Genomic DNA, 17,650 nt, shown 5'->3' on the forward strand with positions numbered 1-17,650 from the left:
AAGGCAGGTGTGGATTAAACCAGAGAATATATGTGAAAGCACTTTCCAAACCATGAAGTGCTATACAAATGAAAGAATGTGCCTGTGAGACCAAAGCCTTGAGTTTTATCTCTGTATGGAATAGTTTGCTATATACTATTCCATCATCCCAATTTACACACTCGCTTTCCCCATGTGGAGGAAGGGGAAGAGTTTGGGAGAAACATTCCACCACAATTGTAAACCAACTGAAAAGCTGATATTCCACTATTTGTGGGATAATAACATCAACTATCTAACTAGTATTAGCACTCATTGAAGAATACTGAAGACTGGAAGCCAGTATTACCTGGCATCTTTTACTTTTAAAACTGGGACTAGAAAGAAAATATATTTGCTGCACAGAGAAAAAATAGGGAGTTAAGAAGAAAGGAAAGTGAGGAAAGGGACCGTATGTGCTCACTTAGGATATGTGCAAGATGGAAGGTCCTGGATTGCAGTCTGATTTGGGATTCAGGTCCAACTCCAGCATTCAGTGTCAGCAGAACTTGAGCCTTAGTTTTAGTTTCCTGAAAATGAGTCTGATGCTAGACGTTTTTTTAAACAACCTAATCAAATGATATAAAATATTTGGCAAATCAAAATGAGTCAAGAATCAGCTGCTGCTGTGTTTCTTTTTACCCTATTCCCTTTCCTTACCATTCCTTTCTTCCCCAGCATTAAAACATATAAAGCCCCAAAATCAGAGCCAGAGGCTAGCCTTAGTTATAAATAAAAAATATCTCATTCTTCACCCCCGCCCTTTCCCAGTGGTATTTATCTACATCAGAGGTCAGCCAACTTTTTTCTATAAAGGGCTAGATAGTACATATTTTAAGCTTTGTAGGCCATAAACTACTTTCACAACTATTCAACTCCGTCATTGTAGCTCAGATGCAGTCATTGATGTTATGTGAATGAATGGGCATAGTGTGTTTCAATAAAACTTTATAAAACAGACAGTGGGCCAGGATCTACATAAAAGTAACCACAGGCACTGGTTCAAAACTTAAAACTAGCTGAATGAACTCTTATATTTCTCTGACACATCTAAACAAGGCAGTCATTAACAGTTTAGAGGCCAGGCACGGTGGCTCACACCTGGAATACCAGCATTTTGGGAGGCCAAGGCAGGTGGATCGTTTGAGCCCAGGAGTTCAAGACCAGCCTGGGCAACACAATGAGACCCCCATCTGTACAAAAAAAAAATTTAAAAATTAGCTGGCATGGTAGCATGTGTCCATAGTCCCAGCTACTCGGGAAGCTGAAGTGGGAGGATCACTTGAGCCTAGGAGGTAGAGGCTGTAGTGAGCTGTGTTTGTGCCACTACACTCCAGCCTGAGTGACAGAGCAAGAACCTGTCTCAAAAAAAAAGAAAAAGAAAGTAGAAAGTTCCGGCAAGGTCTTCACTGGTTTATTTGGGTAGGAGATATTTTATTTTCTGGCCTGAATTCGATAAACAATTGCTTATATTCTGTTTCTCTTTGTGCATGGGGTTCTCGCCCATTACTAATTTTTTTTTTTTTTAAAAAAGGGTTTTTGTTTTATTTTGGGTTTTTTTTTTTTTTTTTTTTGAGACAGAGTCTCACCCTGTCACCCAGGCTGGAGTGCAATGATGTGATCTTGGCTCACTGCAACCTCCACCTCCTGGGTGATTCTCCTGCCTCAGCCTCCCGAGTAGCTGGGATTACAGGTGTCTGCCACCATGCCCAGCTAATTTTTGTATTTTTAGTAGAGACGGAGTTTCACCATGTTGGCCAGGCTGGTCTTGAACTCCTGACCTCGTGATCTGCCTACCTCAGCCTCCCAAAGCTTTTTGTTTTTTTAAGATCACAACTGAATTTGTTCAGAATGGCTTCACAGACATAACTCAAAACAGGGTATGTCATGATCTGTACTCTGTGCGACTGAAAACAAGGTATTGCCTTCCAAAGCCCCAAATGTTAGACACCTTCCTAATGCTTTTAGGGGTTATGAAATATGTTCTTTCTTTTTAGCAGATTTAAATATCTCGGTTGACTGCAGCTTCAATCATGGGATCTGTGACTGGAAACAGGATAGAGAAGATGATTTTGACTGGAATCCTGCTGATCGAGATAATGGTATTTATATTTGACAGTTTCATGTTCTGCAATATGGTGAAGGGATAGAAAGCCCTCCATGAGTGATGGGTTGTTATTCCCATTACTCATCAGAGCAGGGTTGTTTGTCATTTTTGGAAACTTTTAGACCTTCTGAGCTCTCCCTTGATAGATGACTAACTTGGTCCAGCATATATTCTCCTACTTAATCCCTCTCCCACACACCTGCCACCACAAAGGATATGGGAGAAAACCTCTTCCATATTCACTCTCCTGCTGCTGAGGGAGAGATGTTGAGATTTGTATAAAGTTTGGGAGAGTTAGGGAAAAGGTAGAAAGAAATGGTTTCTTCTTCCCAGTTTACCAGCCATGGCATCTTGTAGTTTTTGTTTTTTGTTTTGTTTTCATGGGGGAAATAAATCTTGAAAGGAAATATAACCTCCACCTAAACCTGGTGTTTTAGTAGAGTGGCCCCTCAAAGCATGAAAACCATAATGAACATCAAGTCAATGACCTGAACTCCTGAACTGAGCTTTCCCTTCTGTTTGTTGCTTGAGGATTTCTTTCGAGCCACCTGTCCTTGAATTTTTCTCAATCTTATCTGTGAGCTGCGGATTTCCCACCCTTCCCATTGCCTACTTAAACACTATTGACGGACCCTAACTATCCCCTTAGTGTTTGTCTTGCAGATCCCATTTAGAGCACAAATTGAATCTCTGTCTCCTGAAGACTGACTATATAATTAAAGTCAACTGTTACACCTTCAGGGACTCCAGTTACTTATCAATCAAATTATTTCTTTGGGGATGTATAGGCTCAGCCCTCAGTTAAAAGATCTTTCTTTTAGATCCTTCCTCTAGACCAATTCCTCTCCAACATCTTTCCTTTCATGCCCTCACATGCAATCAGAAAACCTAGATATCCCCTAACAAGAATTCCTTTTTGAACTTGGGGTTAGGGGAGAGGGGTTACATCTCACACAGCAGTTGTGTGAATGGGACTTTTACTAAAGATTCAGTGTAAGCAAAGGGCAAATTTAACCAGGCTGAAAACATCATATCATTGGAAAAGCTATCTTGTTGATAACTAACCTGAGTTTCTCTTTTCTTCCATAATGGCATCTCTAAATTTATGTCTACCAGAGCTATATCATATTGGGAGCCCATAGGTTATTCCAGGACCTCCACAGCTGATATAAGGTTATGTTAAGTCTTAAGTTGAGTCTTCTGTCCAAGGGAAGTTCCCTATTTACAAACACTCAATTCACAAATAACCCCAGGGTTCTCAGCTTCTGCATCATTCAAATCATACCCCTGCTCCTCCTGCACCTCCATTGGATTTCTAGGTGAGCTTTTCATTCCCTCTGTACAGCTAAATATGAAAAATAAACATGGCCAAGGCGGGAGGATTACTTGAGCCCAGGAGTTTGAGACCAGCCTGGGCAACACTGGGGGATCCCATCGCTACAAAAAATTGAAAAAAAATAGGCTGGGTGCGGTGGCTCATGTATGTAATCCCAGCACTTTGGGAGCACTTTGGGAAGCCGAGGCAGGTGGATTACCTGAGGTCAGGAGTTCAAGACCAGCCTGGCTAACATGGTGAAACCCTGTCTCTACTAAATATACAAAAATTAGCCGGGCGTGGTGGTGTGTGCCTGTAATCCCAGCTACTTGGGAGGCTGAGGCAGGAGAATCGCTTGAACCCGGGAGGCGGAGGTTGCAGTGAGCTGAGATCGCACTATTGCACTCCAGCCTGGGCGACAGAACAAGACTCCATCTCCAAGAAAATAAATAAATAAAAAATAAAACACAAAAAAATGAAAAAGAAAAAAATTAGCCAGGTGTGGCGGCATACACCTGTGATCCCAGCTATTCAGGAGGCTGAAGTGGAAGGATCACTTGGGCCCAGGCATTTGAGGCTATAATGAGCTATGATGGCACCCCTGCACTCCAGCCTGGGTGACAGAGTGAGACCCTGCCTCAAAAAAAAAAAAAAAAAAGAAAAAGAAAAAAAGAAAAGAGACATGAATGAGTTAGCATTATTAAAGGGATAAAACCACAAAGACAGCTCAAAGCGGACTTTATCTGGGAGAGAAAGGGAAACCTTCCACAGTAGGTGACAGAAAGCGTAGCTGAAAGAGATGCCAGATGAAATATAGGATGGCTATATTTCAGACAGGCAATTAATACTTTTTAGTATGTCTTGGACATGTACTTTATCTGAAATTCAAACTCCACTGGGCATCCTATATTTTTATTTGCTAAATCTGGATACCCTACTAGCTGGGGAAGAAGACCAGATTCTGGATGCATTGAAAACTAAGGCAATGTCAGCCTGGGTCCTGCAAGTATCTCCGACTTGCAGTAGCAGAAGACGACCCATTCCCCAATGTCTTCTTCCTGGCTTCTATAGAAATTTTTCCTTCTTATCAACTTCTTCAGACCCTACTCTTTGAGAGTTTTTGCCCAAGTTCATCAAAGCCACAACCCGAAGATTGGATATGAGCAAAAGTCCACTACACCACAGGTTAAAAGATACTTAGAAGATTTGCAGGATTTGAAGGAGAGTGTTCCTGTCATCCTAAATCAGAAATTGGAGTGATATGTTACACATGGTAGTTGAGCTCCATGAAACCACTAGTACAGGTGCAGGTGTGTTTTGGATTAAACACCACACTCTGGACCCATTTAAGGAGCTGATCATCTTACATGTCATTGACTCAGTGGGGAAGTGCATTCTAAGTTTCAAGTCACCAAAATGGAAATGAAATTATGGAACACAAGTTCTCCATCAACTGCAGATTACCTGCAGTGCTAAAGGATCATTTAATTAGATTCTTACCCCATATCTTTGTGTATGCTTTGTGTATGCAAAAAATTCCTCGGTTTCTCTGACCATCAATTTGTCTATATAACAAAAGATTTCAATTGTGTGATCCCTAAAATCCATTTTAGCATGAAACTTTTATTCCTATGTTCAAAATGAAAAGGACTTCAGCTTTCCCTATAGGAGACTATTGTTTACTTTTTATAGCTTTTTTTATACATTAAAGCCAAACTCCTTACAATTGCCTCATTAATTGTGCATTTTTTCCCTTCTCTTAAAGCTATTGGCTTCTATATGGCAGTTCCGGCCTTGGCAGGTCACAAGAAAGACATTGGCCGATTGAAACTTCTCCTACCTGACCTGCAACCCCAAAGCAACTTCTGTTTGCTCTTTGATTACCGGCTGGCCGGAGACAAAGTCGGGAAACTTCGAGTGTTTGTGAAAAACAGTAACAATGCCCTGGCATGGGAGAAGACCACGAGTGAGGATGAAAAGTGGAAGACAGGGAAAATTCAGTTGTATCAAGGAACTGATGCTACCAAAAGCGTAAGTGGGAAAAAAATGATTAAACTCAATATTTGCATTCTTTTGCAATGATTTAACAAATGAAACAAAACATTTACTGAAGTATGTAGGCATTAAGGATACAACGATAAGACTTTTTCCCTACACTTAAAGAATACGTTCTGGAGCTGAATAGGCAAGGTGATTAATCGGCACAACTCATGGATACTTATCTGGCGTATGCATATCACGTTCTATGGAAATAACCTGTTTGTCAGGCTCCTCTCACCAGCGTCCTTCCAAATCAGGCTATACATGCTATACATTCCGTAGTATGTAAAAGAATGTCATGCTCATTCATTCTATGCCCAGAACTTACTACAATTAATGGCAGCTAGAAGGTGATTTCTTTTAAATATTTTTTTAAACGGAACTGAGAGAGTGGCTATTGTCAGTGTCCCCAGGACCACCCTTAGGTTCAGTGATTCCGTAAAAGGACTCACACAGAAGTCAGAAAAGCTGTTATATTCACAAGTACAGTTTGTATAGATTAAAATCAGTAGAGGGAAAAGACACGTAGGGCAGAATCCAGGAGAGACCAGGCAGAGGCTTGCAGTTTTTGTCTCCCAGTAGAGTCATATGGGCAGCTATTAATTCTCCCAGCAACCAAGCATGATGACACTTACAAAGTATTGCCCACCAGGGAAGCTCACCCAAACTTTCATGTCCAAGGTTTTTGTTGGGGGTCAGTCTGCCCATGTGATCACCTGCATAGCTGACTTTAGTTATCTAGTCTCCAGCCTCTCTAGTGGTCAAGTTGATACCATGTGACTCAAGGCCCCCACCATAAGTCACATTGTTACCATAAACTATCTGGCATGGCCCAAGGCCTCAGGTAAACAAAGGCACTCTTAATCAAAGAGGGTATTACAAGGGCTTAGAGGTTATCTCCTAAGAACCAGTCAAGGGCCAAACCTTTCTTTGGAATGTGTATGGTTTGGACAACCCAGACCTACTGAGTTAATCTTTTATTGCACAGTGGGTTTAATAAAGGAAAAGGAAACAGAGTTTTAAGAGGAAGTTGGTCAAGTGGATGAAACCCTGAGAAAGAACAAGCAGAATAAAAATGGCAAAGAGTCTATTCAGTTTGACCCATCAGAAGGTGGCTAGTGACCTTTGCAAGAGTTCTTTCTTTGGAGGGGAAGGGTCGAAGGTCACACTTCAGAAAGATGAAAAGAGAAGGGATCAGAGCCTTAAGGCAGCCACTGTGGACGTTATAAAGAGTTTGGTCAAGGTAGGCCAGACGAGGTGACTCACGCCTGTAATCCCAACACTTTGGGAGGCCGAGACAGGCAGATCACCTGAGGTTGGGAGTTCAAGACCAGCCTGACCAACATGGAGAAACCCCATCTCTACTAAAAATACAAAATTAGCCAGGTGTGCAAGCCTGTAATCCCAGCTACTCAGAAGGCCGAGTCAGGAGAATTGCTTTAACCCGGGAGGCGGAGGTTGCAGTGAGCCGAGATCGTGCCATTGCACTCAAGCCTGGGCAACAAGAGTGAAACTCTATCTCAAAAAAAACCCCGAAAAAACAAACAAATGAAAAGTTTGGTCAAGGTGGGAAGGAAAAAGGGTGAAAGCTAGAAAAAGGTACATTAAGTGGTGATAATAGGAAGAGCAATTAGTAGATCCATGTATTGGGATTCCATTTATACTTTGCTTGTGAAAGATGACTAATGCAAATTTAACATCTTTTCATTTACATGTCATAGTTTAATTAAAGCAGAACATCTTGTTTAAAATATGTCATGAGACATGACTATAAATAAAAGTATATGTTGGGTACCAGTTAATGAATTTCCTAACCACTCTTCCCCTCTGAGGTAAAAGCAGCCAGTGCTTGTTTAGGAATGACACATGCATTAATTTGAGTTTATTCTTATAGCAGTACATTTAAATCAATACAAATCCAATCCACGTATTTTCTTGTTGTGTTTGCAGCATGGTTTGGGGACTGTGGCACTGAGCCATGCTATATATGGATGATATCCCCTGCTGGAGAATTGAAACATGCCTCTGCACAGCATTCATAATCACTTTCATGTTGACTGAATTCATGTGATGGAGAATATTTTTAATATAACATGGTAGCTTGCAGGGAGGGTATACTAGCAAAACAGTGATTTTTTTTTTAAATGCACATTTCTGTAGACATGCCCCCAAAGAGCCTGGCCAGCAATCACACTGGAACACAGCAGTGCTTTCATAAGAGGCATTCTCAGACCCAGGCATCTGTTCCTTGAATTCTTCAGTTCTAGGGGAAATCTTGATGGGGGGATATTGAAGGGTAAGGAAGCTGACTAATCCAGTCTAAAGAATATATTCCAGTTTAGCAATGTCATATTGGCTGTGGACATTTGTAACATATGTGACTCTTGCTGCATAAACTTGGGCATACAATGTAAGTCACATTGCTTTCTCGAAATCAAACTATTTCTGAATCCAAAGCCCCATCCCATTAGGCTGGGGGGGAAATTTAATCTTGGCTATTTCCTCATTCAGGGTTGGGATAGGGGCCCCCTCCCTAGGGTAGCCTGTGCTTTTGAAAGGCTAAAAATGGTCCAGACATTAAGAAGGGGGCAACACATCTTTACTTCATCATGGGGGCCATGGATACCCATATCTTCTGCACCTACGTGGCCCTTGAAGTCACTCATCTCTTCAACTTCCATGCCAGGCCCAGACACAGAAACCTTTACTGGGGTTGGAATCTTGTTGCTGAGAATCTAGCCTCAATAGGAACATCAGGCAACCATTTTCTGCCCAGGGCTCTGCCAGGGAGATGCAGTGGTACAGCATCCTAGTCCTGGAGAATCTCATGGCTCCCCTCACCACTTCTCCTTTTAACCTTCTACCTTCAGCCACAGTCTCAGAAAGTTAAGCTTGTGGGTAACAAACGTCAGGAAAGGGACCATCTTCCAGAAAAGTCTGCTTTTGATTGTTATATCCCAAATCTCCTTGATAAAAAAGAACATTAAAATCCTGCCTAATTTTGGGGGGGATAGAGGAGGTAAAAATATAGTGAAAAACACAAAATTAGTATGTCAATTAATTATCCGGACATTTATTTCTAGTTATCCAGTGGTTATCAGTCAGGGGTCTTAGTGTTGGAAAAGCCACCATATGCCAAGATGTAGACATAGCCACCCTCATTATCCCACCCATTGCAGCTGCTGTGAGGGGTCTGCTGTTTGGCTCACCCCTACTTTTTAAAAAAAGTTCCTTTGGGTGCAAAAGGAACATCTTTCTGAAAGCAGTTCCCTCCTGAGACTAGAGGAAAAAGAAACTTCTATACCCAGTTGTGCTATCACTGGCTGCTTAGTAATAACTTGTTTCCAATAGTTCTCAAGAAAATGCACTCAGATTGAGAGCAAAAGAGAGCAGCCCAGGTACTGAGCAGTCATAGACCCTTGTCATCTCCATTTGTTCCCTGAGGTTTCTCTTCTTTGGAGAGCCAGAGAAAACTGGATATGGTGATGACAGCAAGCCTAAAGTTGCTTCATTTCTGAAGACTATTCTGTGATTCTTTATTAAGCAAAAAAGAGATGGTGCTGGGGATAGTGAATAATTGCATGATGGCATTGTTGTGAGCATGATTCTTAAAGGGTCTTTCTTTAAAATGCCAATTTATACAAGTTTGAATTTATATAAGTTTGAGCTTAAAAAGTTTAGAAATGACAAAAGGAAATTACTTTTTTGAAAATAAGAAAAGATTCATAATCATACTACAGTAACATGAGTGCTTTTATATTTCACATTTTACTTTGCACATGAATGTATATTTTTATTTATCTGTAACTGCAGTATGCGTAGGCTATTGTTGAATTTCATTTTGATAGGCTATATGTGCATGTTATTTTAAAGAATACCATGTTCCAAATGAAATATTCTTTTCCCTCTATGTTTGTTCCAGGGTAACTTTTGTCATCTTTGAATCAGGATCATTTTGTTGTCCTCTAAATCTGCTTATTTCGGATATTGAAGATTGTAGAAACCCTCTAGGCCTAGTCTGCTCTTTATGGGAGGCATGGGAGACATACTTCTCTTTAGAGTGAATGTTACTGGATAGGTGCTCCATAAATTGTAGCTATTATTATTTTCATAATTATTGAATTTAACAAATATTTCTAGTGTTTTATCTGATTATAAAATTAACATGAACTATTTTTTTTTTTAAATTACAATATTGAAGAAACATTCATTCAGGCCGGGCGCAGTGGCTCATGCCTGTAATTCCAGCACTTTGGGAGGCCTAGGTGGGTGGATCACTTGGGGCCAGGAATTCGAGACTAGCTTGGCCAACATGGTGAAACCCTGTACTAAAAATTTAAAAAATTTAAAAAATTAGCTGGGCATGGTGGCACATGTCTATAATCCCAGCTACTCAGAGGCTGAGGCACAAGAATCACTTGAGCCTGGAAGGCAGAGGTTGCAGTGAGCTGAGATTGTGCCACTGCATTCCAGCCTGGGTGACAGAGCAAGACTCCGTCTCACAAAAAATAAATATAAATATAAATAAATAAAACAAAATCTTCATTCAGCAAATATTGATTTTAATTTTATTTATTTGAAAACATGTTTGGATAAATGAATGAATATAAAATAGTCACTGTATATCCTTAATTTTGTTAAATGAGTCCCCTGTCATTTTGTGTCCAATTTGAAGATAATTTTTTTAGTATTCATCCTCTGTTCTCTCTATATAGAAATTTCTAAACTATAAAGAAGTTTGTTTCTCTTTTGATTACTAATAAATTTATTAGACAAAAGTGATTATAGCATATTATGAAATATTTTCAACACGTGAAAACAACATTCCAGATAATCTCCAAATACATTAACCAATATTTTAAGAAAAATAATTAGGCCGGGCACGGTGGCTCACGCCTGTAATCCCAGCAACAGAGTGAGACTCCGTCTCAAAAAAAAAAAGAAAAATAATTACACTCATATAAACTACCAAAATCTAAATATATCTTTGACTATATAGTTTTGTTTTTTGGTTTTTTTTTTTTTTTTTTTTTTGAGGCAGAGTCTCACTCTGTCGCCCAGGCTGGAGTGCAGTGGCGCGATCTCGGCTCACTGCAAGCTCCGCCTCCCGGGTTCACGCCATTCTCCTGCCTCAGCCTCCGAAGTAGCTGGGACTACAGGCGCCCACCACCACGCCCGGCTAATTTGTTTGTATTTTTAGTAGAGACGGGGTTTCACTGTGTGTTAGCCAGGATGATCTTGATCTCCTGACCTCGTGATCCGCCCGCCTCGGCCTCCCAAAGTGCTGGGATTACAGGTGTGAGCCACCGTGCCCGGCCTTGACTATATAGTTTTTTATTAGATGTTCAAGGGGAATATCAAATTTCTTCTCACTTGGTTTTTGTAAAGAAAACCATATTTTATTTTTTGTTTTGCTTTTCTTTAAATGTGAATTCCAAAATTTCCTTTTAAATCTTATTCTTCTCAGCTTTATGGCGTTTTTCAGAATCTATGTGGGCTTTGCTATGACCTTGTTTTCACCAAATGTAGTTCTCTCAGCGCAGACACCTGGCATCTAAAAAATAATCTATTACAGTATATTCAATGTCGAAGCCGGTTTCTATGAAATAGGGACACGAGTTAATAGCTATTAAATAGCTTGATTATATCATTGTTTTGAACAGTTTGGAGTAATTTTTTTATTCTCTCTCCATTATTAGATCATTTTTGAAGCAGAACGTGGCAAGGGCAAAACCGGCGAAATCGCAGTGGATGGCGTCTTGCTTGTTTCAGGCTTATGTCCAGATAGCCTTTTATCTGTGGATGACTGAATGTTACTATCTTTATATTTGACTTTGTATGTCAGTTCCCTGGTTTTTTTGATATTGCATCATAGGACCTCTGGCATTTTAGAATTACTAGCTGAAAAATTGTAATGTACCAACAGAAATATTATTGTAAGATGCCTTTCTTGTATAAGATATGCCAATATTTGCTTTAAATATCATATCACTGTATCTTCTCAGTCATTTCTGAATCTTTCCACATTATATTATAAAATATGGAAATGTCAGTTTATCTCCCCTCCTCAGTATATCTGATTTGTATAAGTAAGTTGATGAGCTTCTCTCTACAACATTTCTAGAAAATAGAAAAAAAAGCACAGAGAAATGTTTAACTGTTTGACTCTTATGATACTTCTTGGAAACTATGACATCAAAGATAGACTTTTGCCTAAGTGGCTTAGCTGGGTCTTTCATAGCCAAACTTGTATATTTAAATTCTTTGTAATAATAATATCCAAATCATCATCTTGTGTCATGGTTTAATTTTTCTAGGTAAGAAAATATGTTCTTGATTCTGTGTTTACTTATGTAAATGATTATTTGCTTTTCTGAAAAATGTAGTTTTTATCTTTTCACTATTACTTCATATTCTTTAAAGGTACTTTCTATTATGGGAAAATATGACTGCTTTATTAGGCCTTATAACTGCAAAGCAGATTCACATATATTGGGGTTTTGTTTGTTTTTTATTTTTTAGAAATGAGGTCTTGCTATGTTGCCCATGTTGGTCTTGAACTCCTGGCCTCAAGCGATCCTCCCATCTTAGCCTCCCAAAGTGCTGGAATTACATGAGTGAGCTGCCGCACCCAGCCAGCATATATTGTTGAGCTCAAAGCCTCAGAGAACTACCTAAAACTAAATGAGCAGGTAGCAGGACTCAAAGAAACATGGATGACTTCTTTGTCTTACTCTTTTCTTCCAAATTCAGGAAGAGCTTTGTGTAGGAATCTTGAGTGTATTCCTTGAGGACGGTTTTATATTCTGTTTAAGATTCTGGGTTAGAAACAGGTCTAAGACACCCTCCAAACAGAAGGTTCTCCAGATATTTGCTCTCTGTTACCTAAAGCAATTAAGGCATTGAACCATGGTAGGAAAAAAAGAGAGGTGATCCACTTACTAATCTTTAAAATTTAATTTTAATACAAAATTTAAACCCCACTCTTGAAGGTTTTTAAATACTTAAACCCTAAGTAATTCTTCTTCAACAATGTTCTCTTTAATACAACCAACACACACAACCTTTTAAGATGGGGTGGGGACCACATTGTTTATCCCTAGTGTGAGAGAATCTGGGCATACAAAATCTATATAGGACTGTAACTGTATCTGTTAGGATAACTGCTAGTTATGGAAACCACAAAAATAGTGTTTCTGGTGAGACCAGATGAAAAACTGCCCAGCTAAGGCAAATCAGCCCACAGAATCCTAAGAGATAATAAAAATAGTTGTTTTAAGCCACAAAATTCTGGGGTAGTTTGCTACACAGCAAAAGTTAACTGATATAGGTGATTTCTGATATTGTGGTAGAACTTGAAGAAGACCCCCTGTCTCTTCCATGACCAAGGACATTTGAGAGCACAATGTGGCTTAGAAGAAAGGACAATGGGGCCGGGTATGGTGGCTCAAACCTGTAATCCCAGCAACTCCCTTTGGGAGGAGGAGGTAGGTGGATCTCTTGAGCTGAGGAGTTCAAGACCAGCCTGGGCAACAGGACAAAACCCCATCTCTACAAAAACTACACAAATTAACAGGGCATGGTGGTTTGCACCTGTAGTCCTAGCTACCCAGGAGGCTAAAGTGGGAGGATCACCTGAGCCTGGGAGGTTGAGGCTGCAGTGAGCTGTGATCACACCAGTGCACTCCAGCCTGGGCCACAGCATGATACCCTGTCTCAAAAAGAAAAAAAAAAAGAAAGGACAATGGAGGGGAGAACTTACAATGAAAGGCAGTGCCCGAGTGATTTAGGTTAAAGGAAGAAACGTTAAACCAGAAATGAAATAAGGAGACCTGGGAACTCTGCTACATATGGATAGAAAATCAGTGCACAAAGCTCAGTTAAGTTTCATGTTTCTCTAAAGTCTGCAGCAGAGACCGTGGTTGCCTACACAATATCCATTCTCATCGTTTTCCTTACCAGTATGACCACATATAAATAGATTTTTAGCAGGGGGAGGTAGGCAATGTGATCAACTAATAGACTGCATTTCCCAGCCTCTCTTACAGATGGGGAGGCCCCTGAGATGGAAGCTGAAGTCATTCTTGGGGCTTTCAGGAAGGATCATCAAAGGGGGCTTCCAGCTGGCAGACCCCTCTTTTGGCATTTCCCTTCCTCCTTCCTGCTTGCAATGTGGCTGTAAAGGCAGAAGGTCCATGAACCACTTTGTGATCAAGAGGGCAAGGCCCTCACCTTGTGAAGTACATAACTGGAGGAAGCCTGGGTCCCTGATGATTTTGTGAAGTCTCTACCACTATCCCAGACTAGTCACTGCTGGACATTTTCTTAAGTAAGAGAAAAGCCCTCTGTTGGCCTATCTAGGATTTCAAACAGCACAATGCAGACCCAAGTGATCACTCTCCTGGGAGAGTCTTATGGACTAACTTCTTAGATCCTTAAATAGCAACATATTGTTTTGAATTCCAGTCAATAGCCTATGGTATCAGCTCTAGCCTGCACCAGCACTAAATCATACTTAGATTCCTTTGCAGAACTTAAGTCAGCTAGTTCAGCCATGACTTCCGTATCTGTTGCCCCTGGCTACCACCCAACATGCAAACTCTCCCTCTTCTCACCCATCATCTCCCCCTCTCTCATCCCCACTCTGTATGGGCCCACTCTACTTGGCACTTCTCCCCACTATTTCTACCCCCATCACACATGATCCATTGTCTGGTAAACAAATCCCCCTCCATCTTAATTCATGCTTAAAGGTCTCTTCCTGCATTTCTCAAGCTTAGCTGAAACTGAGCTCTCTCCCAGGGACACCTCTCCCGCTGCAGCCTTATCAAATGAAAACCACTCATCTTCCCACATTCCACACATGGCAGGGTCTAAAGTTGAGGGTGGCATTCTCCTTACTCCACTCTTATTCACCACCTCTTATTTCTGTAATGTGAAAGCTGCTGTTCTTTGGAGATGCAGTTAAGTAGTACTACAGCCTTCTGTCCTGGCTAGCCATTGTCATTGACCAGCATGGCGATATCCATGCAAATACCAATCCAGGATCCTAGCCTCAGAGTCCTTTGACCTCATCTATCCCAGTTACCATCACCTCCTCCTCAGTCACTGCACCATGGCCACCCCTTGGACTTGATCATTGCCTCTGAACTCTTGAACTCCAACATCCCACTCTCTGGTCTCTCTGGCTTCCTCCTCATCCTACTCCCCCTACACTTACTCTTTGGCCTTTTTGAGACCTCCATTCCCTTGACAGCTCCATTTTCTTCCTATCTCTTGACCTCCTCTTGGCTTGACTTTCCTCTCTAATAAAACATAGCCTAGACTCTGAGGCCCATCATCTCTTCAAAGACACTCTTGTCAATGCCCCTCAAGTCCCAGGCTCGTGTGTCTTCCACTGCCACCAGGAAGAGCCCTCAATCAACCCAACTGCCTTCTTTTCTCCATCGTGTCTCCAGGCTGCTAAGCATGGTTAGAGAAAGTTATACAACTGTGCAGGCTGAGCCTTCAACAAAACCATGATCTTCAACCTTCCACAAACCTGTAGTGCTGCCCAAATTATTTACCACTGAGCAGTGCTTGGCTGTTTGCTTGTACACACTAAGTAACATTCACCAGGATGTCCCTATGGGGGGAACCTACCCCCAGTATTTCAACATAGGTTCTATTTTCCCTAAGTGTCGGTCTGAGAAATAGAGAGTACAAAGAGAGGAATTTTACAGCTGGGCCTCTGGGGGTGACATCACATATCGGTAGGACCATGATGCCCACCTGAGCCACAAAACCAGCAAGTTTTTATTAAAGATTTCAAAAGGGGAGGGGGTGTATGAACAGGGATCAGGTCATAAAGATCACGTGCTTCAAAGGGCAAAAGGGAGAAGAAACATCACATGCTTCTGAGGTAACAGGGCAAGGACAAAAGCAAAGATCACAAGGCAAAGGGCAAAATTGGAATTACTGATAAGGGTCTATGTTCAGCTGTGCACGTATTGCCTTGATAAACATCTTAAACAACAGAAAACAGGGTTTGAGAGCAGAGAACCAGTCTGACCTCAAATTTACCATGGCGGGATTTTTTTCCCCACCCTAATAAGCCCGACGGTACTGCAGGAGACCAGGGCGTATTTCAGTCCTTATCTCAACCGCATAAGACAGACACTCTCAGAGCGGCTGTTTATAGACCTCCCCCCAGGAATGCATTCCTTTCCCAAGGTCTTAATTATTAATATTCCTTGCTAGGAAAAGAATCCAGCAATATCTTCCCTACTTGCACGTCTGTTTATAGGCTCTCTGCAAGAAGAAAAATATGGCTCTATTCTGCCTGACCCCGCAGGCAGTCAGACTTTATGGTTGTCTTCCCTTGTTCCCTAAAAATCGCTGTTATTCTGTTCTTTTTCGAGGTGCACTGATTTCATATTGTTCAAACACACATGTTTTACAATCAGTTTGTACAATAGTGGTCCTGAGGTGATGTACATCCTCAGCTTACGAAGATAACAAGACTAAGAGATCAAAGTAAGACAGGTGTAAGAAATTATAAGAGTATTATTAGGGAAGTGATAAATGTCCATGAAATCTTCACAATTTATGTTCCTCTGCCGCGGCTCCAGCCAGTCCCTCTGTTCAGGGTCCCTGACTTCCTGCACCATGTCCTCACATCCTACAGCCCCATAAGTTAATATTAACTACTGAAATAACAATGACATGTCCCCCCCATTTTTGCCTGCTAAGGCTGAATGTCATTCTGACTAAAGCCCTGAGTTGAGGATTTTGAGATCACATTTGGGCCTTTATCACAGCAAGGACGGGTACTGAATGACACTGTTTGGAGTTCTCAAAGGCAAGGAGGTAGGCAACTGTCAGCAGATGTGACCTGTGTGGCATGATCCTCTCCCTATTCTACAGGCTGTGGCATGATCCTCTCCCTATTCTACAGGCTGTGTCACTCACTCCCTCTGAGGATATGAAACAAACTGGGAGAACAGGCCTGCCTGCAACAGGCTGGGTAGTCCTTGGCCTGTGAGGATCCTCTTCTAATAATTCACAAAGGGGTGGCTGTGTCCAGCCACATGACCAAGGAGAAGGGCTACTACTCCTTCTTCAAAACACTGCCTCCACTCTTCCCCAGACTGAAGGCTGACCCTAACCAAGGAAATGATCCAAAACTGTCCAGAATGGGGGGCCCTGGAGAGGGGTTGTACCTTTAGTTAGGTAACTCACTCCTAGAACAAAGAACCCTGAGCCGTGTTGCTATAACCTTAAGACTGGTCTCAGAACTTTGTCACATGTGAAAAACCTTCAAATGTCCCTCCATTATCTCTAAGAGCAAAGCAAGAAGATGACACTTGAGCACTGGCTCTGCAAGTAGTTGTTGAGTATTCACTGTTTAAGAAAACAAGGAGACAAGTAGAAATTTGAGCACTTGCAGGATATCTGACAATATTAAGCGATACTTTTAGGTGGGATAATGGTACTGCGGTTATGCTTTTTTTAAAGAAAGAATTCTTCCCTTTAGAGAAACACACTGAACTACTTAAATGAAATTACATGAGATCTGGGATTTGCTTGGAAAACAATGGGGGGGAGAGGAGGGAGTCGATGAGGGTATCTAGAAGAAAAGATGATAAACATTTTTTTCTGGAATGAGGCATATAGTAAATATTTCAGGCTCTGTGGGCCAGACATCTCTGTCACCACAACTCAACTCTGCCACTATAGCACAAAAGCAGCCGTAGGCAATATGTAAACGAATGGGAGTGGCTGCATTCTTTATAAAGTTAATTTTAAAGCCTGTAGCTGGCCAGACTGAGGCCAAATACTGTAGTTTGTTGACCTCTGGTCTAGAGGAAACAAGAAAAGCCATGTGTTGATAATTGACAAAACTGAGTGATGGGGGTCTCAGAATACTAATTGGTCTACTTTTTTGTATGTTTCAAATTCTCCACAGTAAAACATTAAAAAACAAACAAAGAAGGAAATAGACCATGTATTTTTAAGAAAGATTACCATCACAAATGCTTAAAATGAAACCATTTGGATTTTTTTTTTTTTTTTTTTTTTGAGACTGAGTTTCACTCTGTTGCCCAGGCTGGAGCGCAGTGGTACAATCTGGGCTCACTGCAACCTCCACCTCCCAGGTTCAAGCAATTCTTGCACTTCAGCCTCCCGAG

The 17,650-nt window shown here is 41.1% G+C and overlaps 1 protein-coding gene across 2 annotated transcripts in view; it reads left to right on the forward strand.

Moving 5' to 3' along the window:
* EGFL6 (EGF like domain multiple 6) overlaps positions 1 to 11,770 on the forward strand; it is a 63,975-nt gene extending 52,205 nt beyond the window's left edge. Inside the window, exons 10-12 of one of the 2 annotated variants that reach the window (NM_001167890.2) lie at positions 2,016 to 2,120; positions 5,206 to 5,471; positions 11,180 to 11,770. In NM_001167890.2, coding sequence (NP_001161362.1) covers positions 2,016 to 2,120; positions 5,206 to 5,471; positions 11,180 to 11,290 — 482 coding nt within the window. In that variant the 3' untranslated portion in view covers positions 11,291 to 11,770. The remainder of the gene's footprint in view (positions 1 to 2,015; positions 2,121 to 5,205; positions 5,472 to 11,179) is intronic. The other variant, NM_015507.4, reaches the window with a different exon arrangement.

The sequence above is a fragment of the Homo sapiens genome, chromosome X (assembly GCF_000001405.40).
Source record: "Homo sapiens chromosome X, GRCh38.p14 Primary Assembly".
Classification (NCBI taxonomy): domain Eukaryota; kingdom Metazoa; phylum Chordata; class Mammalia; order Primates; family Hominidae; genus Homo; species Homo sapiens.